The sequence below is a fragment of the Homo sapiens genome, chromosome 2 (assembly GCF_000001405.40).
Source record: "Homo sapiens chromosome 2, GRCh38.p14 Primary Assembly".
NCBI lineage: Eukaryota > Metazoa > Chordata > Mammalia > Primates > Hominidae > Homo > Homo sapiens.
In genome coordinates this window covers 105,694,159-105,706,369 of record NC_000002.12, presented here as the reverse complement: position 1 = coordinate 105,706,369, position 12,211 = coordinate 105,694,159, and the positions used below count along the sequence as shown (strand labels likewise).

The 12,211-nt window shown below is 39.4% G+C and overlaps 1 annotated feature.

Annotated features, from left to right (window-relative positions):
• Positions 7,363-7,542: a silencer, noted in NCBI's record as "fragment chr2:106315285-106315464 (GRCh37/hg19 assembly coordinates)". NCBI's record gives its function as "represses an EF-1alpha promoter that drives an FKBP-Casp9 reporter gene in an ReSE screen in K562 erythroleukemia cells {active_cell/tissue: K562}" and the evidence as "EXISTENCE:reporter gene assay evidence [ECO:0000049][PMID:32094911]".

Sequence of the window (12,211 nt, the reverse complement as noted above, 5' to 3'; positions counted from 1 at the left end):
CCATATATGAGTCAGAACATGTGATATTTGTCTTTCCGTGTCTGGCTTATTTCACTTAACATTCAGTTCCATCCACATTGCTGCAAATGACAGGATTTCATTCATTGTTGTAGCTGAATAGTATTGCTCTGTGTACATGGACCACATTTTCTTTATTCATCTGTTGATGAGTTTTTTGTGCATTCTCACCAGCATTTGTTATTTTTTATCTTTTTTATTTTTATTATTTATTTATTTTTTTAGATGGAGTTTCACTCTTGTTGCCCAAGCTGGAGTGCAATGGTGCGATCTTGGCTCACCACAACCTCCGCCTCCCGGGTTCAAGCGATTCTCCTGCCTCAGCCTCCCAAGTAGCTGGGATTACAGGCATGCACCACCATGCCCAGCTGATTTTGTATTTTTAGTAGAGATGGGGTTTATTCATGTTGGTCATGCTGGTCTCAAGCTCCCGAACCTCAGGTGATCCAGCCGCCTCATCCTCCCAAAGTGCTGGGATTACAGGCATGAGCCACCATGCCCGGCCTTATTTTTTTATCTTTTTGATAGTAGCCATTTTAACTGGAGTGAGATGATATCTCATTGTGGTTTTGATTTGCATTTCCCTGATGATCAGTGATGTGGAATATTTTTTATATGCCTGTTGGTCAATTGTAGTCTTCTTGTGAGAAATTTCTATTCAAAACTTTTGCCTACTTTTTAATGGGATTTTTCTTTTCTGGTGCTGAATTGAGTTCCTTGAATATTCTAGATATTCATTTCTTGTCAGATGAATAGTTTGTAATTATTTTCTCCTATATTACGGGCTGTCTTCTCACTGCTGAGTGTTTCCTTTGCTATGCAGAAGTGGCTTAGTTTATACAGTCTCATTTATTTACTTTTGTTTTTGTTGCCTGTGCTTTTGAGGTCCTAGCTATGAAATCTTTGCCTAGACCAAGTCCTGAAGCATTTCCCATATTTTTTTCTAGTAGTTTTATAGTTTGAGGTCTTATGTTTATGTCTTTAATGTATTTTGAGTTGATTTTTTTAATATGGTGAGAAATAGGAATGAATATCAGGTTTCTCCATGAATATCAGGTTTCCCTACTCCATTTATTGAAGAGGCTGTCCTTTTCCCAATGTTCATGGCACTTTTGTCAAAAATAAGTTGGCTGTAAATATGTGGCTCTTTTCTGGGTTCTCTATTCTTTTCCATTAGTCTATGTGTCTGATTTTATATCAATACCATGCTGTTTTGGTTACTATAACTTTGTGGTACATTTTGAAGTCAGGTAGTGTGATGCCTTCAGCTTTGTTATTTGTTTTTTTGCTTTGTTTTGTTTTTGGCTCAGGATTGCTTTGGCTATTCAAGGTCTTTTGAGGTTCCACACAAATTTTAGGATTGTTTTTTCTATTTCTGTGAGGAATATAATTGATATTTTAATAGAGATCATATTAAATCTGTACATTGCTTTGGGTAGTATGGTCATTTTATTGATATTAATTCTTCCAATCCATGAGCATGGAATACCTTTTCATTTCTTTTTATCCTCTTCAATTCATTTCATCAGTGTTTTATAGTTTTCAGTATAGAGGTCTTTCATCACTTTGGTTAAATTTATTCCTAGGTGTCTTATGTTTTGTAGCTATTGTAAATGGGATTGTTTTCTTGATATTTTTTTCAGATAGTTCAGTTAGCATATAGAGATACTACTGACTTTTGCGTGTTGATGTCATGTCCTGCAACCTTACTGAATTCATTTATCAGTTCTTATGAGGTTTTTTTCTTTTTTGGTGGAGTCTTTAGGTTTTTGTATATATAAGATCATGCCATCTGCAAACAGGGACAATTTGACTTTCTCTTTTCCAATTTGGAGGCTTTTTATGTCTTTCTGTTATCTGGTTGCTCTAGTTAGGACTAGCAGTACTATGTTGAATGAGAATGGTGAAAGTGGACATCCTTGTTTAGTGCTTAGAGGAAAGGCTTTGTCATATATGGCCTTTATCATGTTGAGGTATGCTCCCTAAAAGAATAATTTGTTGAGAGTTTTTACCATGAAGGGATGTTGAATGTTATCAATTTTCTTCTGCATCTACTGAGATAATTTTATGTTTTCATAATTTTATGTTTTCTTCTTCATTCTGTTATTTTAATGTAATATATGTATTAATTTGCTTGTATTGAACCATCTTTGCATCCCTAGGATAAATCTCACTTGATCATGATGTATTATCTTTTTAAAGTGTTATTGCATTTGGTTTGCTGGTGTTTTGTTGAGAATTTCTGCATCTATGCTCATCAGGGATATTGGCCTGTATTTCCTTTTTTTTGTTGTGTCCTTCTCTGGTTTTGGTATCAGGGTATTGTTGGACTCATAGAATGAGTTTGAAAGAATTCCTTCATCTTCCATTTTTTGGAATAGTTGAAGAAGAATTGTTTCTTCTTTAACACCTGAGAAGTGTTCGTTTTTCTTTCAAAGTTTGGTAGAATTCATCAGTGAAGCCATCTGGTCCTGGGCTTTTCTTTGTTGGGAGGACTTTTTATTACTGATTCAATCTTGTAACTAATTACTGGTCTCTTCAGGTTTTTTATTTCTTCTTGGTTCAATCTTGGTAGGTTACAGGTGTCCAGGATTTTGTCCATTTCCTCTAGGTTTTGGAATTTGTTGGTATATATAGTTGTTCATAATTGCTTCTAATGATACTTTGCATTTTTGCAGTATCTGTTGTAATGTTTCATTTTTCAGTTCTGATTTTATTTATTTGTATCTTCGGTCTCCTTTTCTTAGTCTATCTAATGATTTTTAAAATTTTGTTTTTCTTTTTAAAAACCAGACTTTTTATTTCATTGATCTTTTGTAGTTATTTTGGGGTCTCTATTTCATTTAGTTTTGCCCTGTTCCTTTCTTTCCTTCTACTAATTTTCACTTTGGTTTGTTCTTTCTTTCCTATTTCCCTGAGGTACCACATTAGGCTGTTTATTTGAAATGTTTCTATTTTTTTGATGTGTTTATTGCTATAAGCTTTCCTTTTAGAACTGATTGTGCTATATCCTATTGGTTTTGATATGTTGTGTTCATATTTTCATTTGTTTCAATAAATTTTTTATTTCCTTCTTAATTTCTTCACTGATCCATTGGTTGTTCAGGATTATGTTGTTTAATTTCCATATTTTTAGACAGTTTCCTAAGTTCATTTTCTTATTGATTTCTAGTTTCATCTGTTGTGATCTGTAAAGATACTTGATATGATTTCAATATGTTAAAATTTGTTGATACTTGATTTGTGGACAACATGTGGTCTAACATGGAGAGTGTTCCATGTGCTTTTGAGAAAATGTATTCTGCAGCTGCCAAATGAACTATTCTGTAATTGTCTGTTAGGTCCATTTGGCCTATAGGACAGATTAAATCTGATAATTCTGTGTTGGTTTTCTGTCCAGATGACCTGTCCAATGCTGAAAGTGGGATGTTGAAGTCCCCAGCGATTATTGTATTGGGATCTTTCTCTCTCTCTCTCTCTCTCTCTCTAGCTCTAATAATATTTGTTTTATATATCTGGGTGCTCTGGCGTTGGGTGCATATATATTTACAATTGTCATATCCTCTTGCTGAATTTATTTTTTTATCATTATATAATAACCTTTGTTGTCTCTTTTTATGTTGTTGTTGTTTTACTTAGTCTATTTTGTCTGATATAAATATAGCTTCTCCTGCATGCTTTGGTTTCCATTTGCATGGAATATTTTTTTCCATCACTTCACTATCAGTCTCTGTGTGTCTTTATAGGTGAAGTGAGTTTCTTCTGGTCAGCATATAGTTGGGTCTTTTTTTTCTTAATCCATTCAGTAGTCTAACATCTTTTAATTTGGGAATTTAAACCGTTTACATATAGACAAGTGAGGACTTACTCCTGTCATTTTGTTAATTGTTTTTCTGATTATTTTGTTTATCCTTTGTTTCTTTCTCTTTTATTACCTACCTTACAATTGTTAGTTTTTTTATAGTGATAACATTTGACTCCTTTCTCTTTCTCATTTCTGTATCTGCTCTAACAGTGAGTTTTGTACTTTTGTGTATTTTCATGATTGACATAATCCTTTCTGAACCAATTTCTTATTACACATTTCACTTGTTTCTTTTTATCTTCTATTGTCAATGCTGTTTTGAAGTACGTGCTTCTCTGAGTACATATGTATTTATTTCCTCAGACAAATTCCTAGAAGAGGAACTATTTTACCAGGGGGAAAACAAAGTTAAGATGTTTACATATTGTTAAAATATGATACAGAATGCTTATGCAGGTTATAGCCCCATCAACAGAGCATGAGAAATCTAGTTCCACATGCAAATGCTGACTATTATTATCTCTATAAATCTTGCTCATTTTATAATGAACAAATGGTATATAGTTATTTTATATTTTTTGTGCGTGTTTGTTTATTCCTGGTAAATATTAACACAGCAATCAACTAAATTTCTTCTTTAATTATCTAAATACTTATATTCTTTGCCCATTTTTCTAATATGATATTTTTTCTTGAATTAATTTTAAGAGCTTTCATGTATTAAATATCATTTTTCCAGATTTTCCCCACATTATAGGTGGCCTTTTAATCTCTTTCTGTTTTTTTTTCACATTCAGAAGCATATCAAATCTTTCCATAAATAACATTTGTGCAATTGTGCCAATATATCTGTAATACAAATTCCTACATTTGGAATTACTGAACCAAAGATAAGGTGCATTTAAGATGTTGACAGATGTTACTGATTATATAACCCATTTTATGACCACCACAACCAAATGAAATAGTTATTATTTTCACCATTACATAGATGAGGAAACTGAGGTTCTCATAGCAACTTTCTCAGTGGTACACAGCTTGTAATCGGAAGAGTTTAGAACGGAATCCAGGTCTCCAACTCCTAGCCACAATGTAGACTATCTCACTGGTATCTTCTGCAAGAAAAAAAAGTACTTAATTTGCAAGTTCTCAAACTTTTCTTCTACCAGAAATTAGCACTGTAGAGGGCAAATTAAACAGTTTAAAAATAATAAACATCAAAAGAGAACATGACCTAAGTTTGGAAAGAGAAATCTAAATTTGCTGCCAAGTGATGGCCTCAGCACTGAAGCCTGCTTGCAGCATCTGATGCAGCATGCTGCTTAGAATAGGCATCTAGTTCTATTTTTAGGAATCGCCCCTCCATGTCAAATCACGTAAAACACATTCCTGTGTCCTCAGTATTTTTTAAATGTCTCTGACTATTTTAGCACCTGTGGGAAGTCTTATAAGAAAAAAAATTGCAGGCATTGAAAAAATAGATTTTCGATTATATTCTGCATAGGTGGCTCACATCTGTAATCCCAGCACTTTGGGAGGCTGAGTTCGAGAACAGGCTGACCAACATGGCAAAACCCCGTCTCTACCAAAAATACAAGCCGGGCATGGTGGTTCATGCCTGTAATCCCAGCTACTCGGGAGGCTGAGGTATGAGAATTGCTTGAACCTGGGAGGTAGAGGCTGCAGTGAGCTGAGATTGGGCCACTGCACTCCAGCCTGGGTGACAGAGCAAAACTCTGTCTCAAAAAAAAAAAAAAGTTTAGATAAAAACATTAAAAAATCATTTCAGCTTTGTGGGTAACATGAAAATAAATATGCACTTTTATATGTTACTCTTTTTTCAACTAAAAAATAATTTGTGACATTTCAAAATAGTAATAATGTAATGAACATTTCTGTCATAGTAAATAACTTTAGCTACTCTCCCAAAAGTCATTGAGTATTTCAGAACTCCCCCAGGACTGAAACATGTTGCCAATGAACTTGACTATTTCAAAGACAATGTCTTCTAGTCCCTTGACTATGCTGTAACCATACAAGATAAGCTTCTCATGTCAATGAAAATTTACCCCTTGGAGAGATCCAAATAGAGATCTCTCTTTGGATGCAAGGTAACCTAATGAGATATTACAGATATAAGAGGAGGAAGATGGTGATGCAGCTACAGTTAAGGATTGTGGTGTCCAGAATCCACTTTAGACAATAATTGGAGGCAGAAATAGGATCACTGTGGAGCTCACAGGAAGGAGGCAATAGCGGTGTGGAATGCTGTATTTCATAGATTCCAACACATGCATATTTTCCTATAGTAACATCTCTGACGTTGTGATGTGTACTGCAATCAACAACACCTTCCAGTTGACAGCTTGCCACAGTTTATTTATCAGCGATTTTTTTTCTTCCTTAGTGGCACAGAAAATAATGGTGCATCTTACAACTGCTGGTGTCCTCAATGTGATGAAGAATGAATACTTATTACCAGTGAGAAAAGCATGGAGGACCTTAATGAGGGGCAGGTGGCCACTGTTCACACTCACTGTTAACAGTTAATTGTGATTATGGCATGAGAGCCTAGCACACAGGCTTCAGTGCAAGGTGAGACGGATATAAAGTGTTTGAGGAGGAGAAGGAAGGTAAAAAAAAAAGATGATGAGGCTGCCTCATTTACCATTAAACTGAGGAAGGATCTAGCCCTGGACTGGCATGAAAAATTGTCATATTGCTTCATCTCCCAGAACCAAAGAAGCTGTTTTTAAAAAATAATAAGCACATTCTTTGTATTTGCAGTACGGCCTGAAAACTAAGTAAATCAAGGTTTTCACAGAAAATGTTGAATTGTTTTGAACACAGCATTTGTACTTATTGATTGTGATTTGTAACAATTAATTAATACTCAGATGTAACAGCTAAACAAAACACTGCTCTTCTACAACATGATTATAGAATTGATTTTCTACAAAACATTTTAAAGGAATGTGAAGTTAAATAGCTAGGAAGATGTAAGGAGGCTGGGTTTAGAATTTGAACTGGAATCAATTCCAGCCTTTTTAATTTGGAAAAGTGGTGGCAGGATGCAAGTCTGTGGCACCAGAGACACTTGACCTAGTATCGCCCTAGCCTGCGCTTCCTGCACTGAGTGGGAAGTTGGATGAGAGGACTCAGGTCTTTCACTTGTACATGCCTATAGCATCATTGGAGACCGTTGTGTGAAAAAGCTGCCTGGGTCACCAACTCTCATATAAAGTAAAGAGGAAAAAAAATCCCACAGCCACTGGTCTTCAAAGGACAGACATGTGGACCTGGTTGGGATGGGGTTGAGGGCAGACTTAAAAAGCTTCATGCAAAGGCTCATCTGAGATGGGCTTTGAAGGTGGGACTGCATGACATGCTGATGGGCAGGACAGATGGATGTATTCCACAGAGGAGGCAAATCATGTGCTAATGCAAAGTGGCAGGGAACCTGATCTATAGGACAGTGGCCCTCAGTCGTGGCTGTATATGGGAATCACCTGGAGTGCTTTAAACAAGCCATGCCTGTGCTGGGGGCTTCCCCTGCCCAGCCAGATCCTTGCCATTGGCACGGGCTCTGCTGGTGCACAGTCATGCAGTTCTTCCCCACTCCAGGTCCACTGAGTCAGAATCTCAGAGGCTGGGGTTGAGACAGTGATATTTAATTTTTTTTCAAGTTATTCTATTCTGCAGTCAGAGTTGAAAGACTTATGACTTTTGGTACAGCGGGTAGAAAAGTGTAACTGAGGTTCAGGCTACGAGTTAGGAAGATCAGAGAGCAGAATGGAGAAGTGGATTGGGTTCATTTACCTGGGGGCATTTATCCTCATTTTGTTCTAGAAGGAAAAGTCAGGTCAAGAGACTGGTGATTCAGAGGTTGTGGTCAGCATTAAGGGACTCAAGAGATAATAAGGCATCGGGACAGTGTCAATAGGGAGCAGCCCCTCACCCCTAGATCTGGGGAAGGAAGGGGCAGAACCCTGGAGGAGGGGCCAGCCAGCAGGGCTGTGCTCTTGAGGGGATCCAGTCACTGCTCAGTAGCACTGAGCAGGGAAGTTGTGGGCAAGACAAACGCCACCTCTTTCTCTTCTTGTCCATCAATCTCTTGTTGCTTCTTCCAGTTGGTTGAGCCCAACCAGAAGCCACAGGGGAGAAAGCCCAGGCAATTCTGCCCTCAGAGATCAGCCTCCTAGAGCCCTGGGATGAGTATGGGGTGGGGTGGAGGGAGGCAAATGGATTATAACCAGCACAACACTAAAGGCACGGTTGGAAGTTTTGCCTAAATTCAATAGGCAATGGTAAACCGCTGGAGGCTTTTGAGTGGGATTGTGATTAGAGCCATGCTTTTAACATGTTTAAACTGTCATGATATTAAAATTAATGTAAGTGAGGGAAAATATTGGTATGTAGGTTGGTTAAGGCCAGGAGGAAGCAGGAGATTTCCTGCATGCACGCCAGCCTTGGCGCTGCTCTGCCAGGTCAGAGGCTCTCCCCAGGGCTGATAATGATGGCTGGGAGTGTGGGCGATCTGCTGGCAGCTGCCGTGACCTTGGCCTGCCTGTGCAGTTTGAGCTTGCTGCAGATACTCTATTCTGAAGAACAAAGCCCTGTCTGTTAATTATTCTTCCAGTCGCTAAGGGAATTAACCAAGGTTTATGGGATTGATTCAACTCTCATCAACATGAAAGCACTAGGAAAATGTTGGCGAACACACAGGGGCATGTCGATTCTGGATTCCTGCGTGGGACTCAGGAATGGATGGTTCCTTAAGGGATGTGTGGGAGGGGGGTCTTTTCCAACTGAAGCCACCCTGGGAAAATGCAGTGTTGGGAGGAGAATTCTGGTCCAGCAATGTGTCTCTCCACTTTTGAATGAGAAAAACTCCTCTGTAGGCTTTTCAGTAATGAGCATCTATGAATTGGGGAATCAGATTATCAGAACTGAGTGCCTGCGGTTGGGGATCCAATCAAGGCATCTTCTTTTGCCTGAAATGGGCTGGTGAAGTCTATTCATAAAGGAAGAGCTAACATGTAGAAGAGAGGGAAGAACTCCCAATGCTCTTCTTGGAGTAAGAACCAAACTAAAAGGGAATATTATACAGATCCTTGTTTTCGATCAACATGTGCAAAAACTCCAACACTCAAAGTTGCCCAGCAAAGGAAAGGGCTGTCTTATGAAATGGTGAACTCCTCATCTTTTTAAGGACCCAAGCAGATGTCTGGCAGCTACTTTTATGACTGATATTTTGGAAGGCATTCCTGCAAGGGCACTAGAGCAATGACCAGGTTAGGTGACCCTCTGTTAGGGACTGAATTGTGTTCCCTTTCCCATGCCAAATTCATATGTTGAAGCCCTGGGAACTCCTAGTAACTTAGAATGTAAACTTGTTTGAATTAAGGTCTTTAAAGAGGTAATTAAGTTACAACATGGTCTTTTGCATGGGTCCTAATCCAATGTGACTGGTGTCCTTATAAGAAGAGGAGATTAAGACACAGAGGGAAGACCATGTGAAGGCACAGGGGGCCTCAGAAGAAAACAACTCTGTCACCATCTTGGTCTCGGACTTCTAGCTTCCAGAACTGTGAGACAATAAACTTCTGTTGCTTAAGCCACCCAGTCTGGCTAAGACCCCCTCAATCTTTCTAAGAGTCTATTCTTTGACTTGAAAAATATTTAGAAAAGCTTATTCACTGGAGTTCGGAATAACACTACAGGATAACAAGTCCCGGTGTTTAATAAAACAGCAGGAGCCTCAGGCTGCAGTTGCATATTACTTAGCTTCCTAAATAATTGAAATAGGAGGGTATCACCGAGAAGAAATCACTTACAGGATATATTCATTCATTAAGCAATATCTGTTGTGGGCTTTCTGTGTGCCAATAACATCAATTCAAAGCCATAAGCAATCAGTTGGCCTGTTTGCAGAATGCAGAGAGATGACTGGGATTTACTCCTCAGAAGGGCAGGCAGGAATATCCAGGCAGGTGGTCGCTGGATATCTGGGTATCTGGGTATTAGGATGTATGAGCAAATGGCTCTTGTGTGAAAGAGAGAATTGGCTTTTCTCTGCATCTCTGTAACTAAGAACAATACAGAGAAGTTCTGAGAAGTAGATTTTAGCTCAACATCAGGGGACCTATCAAACTCTCAAGTTCTGCAATGCTGATACGGCTTCTGTTGGGGTGAAGAGGGATTTAAGTGTTGGCTTTACAATTACACATGGAGATGTTCTAGCATGGTTCAAGTATCAGAAGTGAGACAAACTAGAACATCTTAAGGAGCTTGCAACCTTGTCTTTCTATGATGTTTGAAGACAATCATACCATCATACTATCATACCATCCACAATGGTGTGATAGAAAGATGGAAGTGGGAAGGCCTCTTGTGAAGCCATTGAAATAACTCAGTGCTGAAAGCCAATAGATCTTCATGAGACTACGCCACGCAACTGGGAAGGAAGAACTAGACAGAGTGAAGACAAGTGGGCTCCCCAGCTCCATCTCCACGTCACTCTGCTGGCTTCCCCATAAAGTTGATCTGTCCGGTTTGCATCAATGGGTTCCATGCCTTCTGGCATCTGGTTGGCTTTAGCCAATGAGGAGCCCAGCAGGGGACTGGAAGGAAGGAGCAGGAAAGGGGTTGGGATATTTATTTCCTGGTTCCCCCCACATTAACAAAAAGGCATGATGGTCCTCTCAAAGTGGCCTGCTCCGCACGACTCTCTCCCCTCCCAGGCTCTGCGATGTCTCCCTCCCCTCCTCCCGCCAGGCCTGGAGGTGGGAGCTGGATGGCAGTCTTGCAGCTGTTGGCCTGAATTCCCGTGCTTACCCCTCATGGCTCCCTACCCTTCACCATGCCTTCGAAAAAGGTCCCTTTGTAAATAAAACCTCCTCCCATTATCCTTGTTTGAGTGCACCATCTATTTTCCTTCTTGTTTTTCCTGACCCCCACAGACTGTATGACTGGATTTGGTCAATGATAAATTTTGTGTAAATTAGTGCATTTCAAAATACACTTTTCGGGGAGTTGTGGGGATAGGGAGAGTTTTGTCTGTGGCTAATCAGAGCAGCTCCATTAACCTCTTGGGCTACTCTCTAAAATTCCATTTGTGGCGGAGCACAGTGCCTCACACCTGTTATCCCAGCACTTTGGGAGGCCAAGGCAGGTGGTTCACTTGAGGTCAAGAGTTCGAGACCAGCCTGGCCAACATGGAGAAACCCCGTCTCTACTTAAAAAAAAAAGTACAAAAATTAGCCAGGCATGGTGGCACACGCCTGTGATTCTAGCCGAGATCATGCCACTGCACTCCAGCCTGGGTGGCAGAGTAAAACTTTACCTCAAAAAAAAACCCCAAAAACAAAATAATAAAATTCCATTTGTATGAGGATTTTACAACTAAGACTCAGTGTGAAAGTTTTGGGCAAAAAATAAAAATAAAAAAACAAAACCCCAAAAATGATGCCCTAATTTTAAGTATGGATCCAGAATTGAAATCATCATCCGATCCTTGCTGCAGACCTCAAGTAACCCAGGATCTGGTCCATTTCTTGGGCTGTACCTTCACAGCACAACATAAAGTAGAGTCTTGGCACTGTTCCACTTAATTTGATAGATGTACATGACTAGCAAGGTAGAGTGGCTTAGTGTCTAAAAAAATCCATTTGCATTTAGTAATCTGTCTATATTAATCAAATCAGCTGGCTAATTGCCAAATCTCCCCTTCTTTCTGTATTACTTATGACCAAGATTGGATGACAGAACGCAATGGGGAGGGCAGAGAGGTTGACTCTCAGCCCACATCTTCATAAAGACGCGGTTAAACAAAACCTCCTTGACGTGCCTACCAAGCCTAGGAGAGCCTGCCATGAAATACCTGCTGTTAGGATGGCTCTCAGACCTGAGTCCTCCAGGATAGATCTTTTGGTGAGAATGTACTTTAGAAATCCTTGAGGGATGAAACTATGGGAACCAAAAAATATCTTCCTCCCAGTGTGAGTCAGCTGTGTTCAACTACCAAGGATGTCATAGGCAAAATTAGATGCAAAGCCTAACTCCACATTCATGGCTAACATGTGAAAAGAGATGCTCTGTCAAGCACAATATTAGACAGCACCTGTTGTGTGAGCACCTGCACTCAATGGGGAAGGCAAATTAGAAGTGAAAACTAATTGGAAAAGCAGATGTAAGGGGTGTGGGCGAAATGAAAATACTCTGATAGTTGCTTTGGGACAATGTCAAGTGACATAGAATATTCGGAACTGTTTTGTTCAAAATGGGATTTCTGATTTCTAGGGAGAAAAAAACCACATGTTTCTGCTTTACAAGGTACAAGACTGGTGAAACTTGGAGCGCAAGGGAGCGAGCATGCCATGGGGCAGC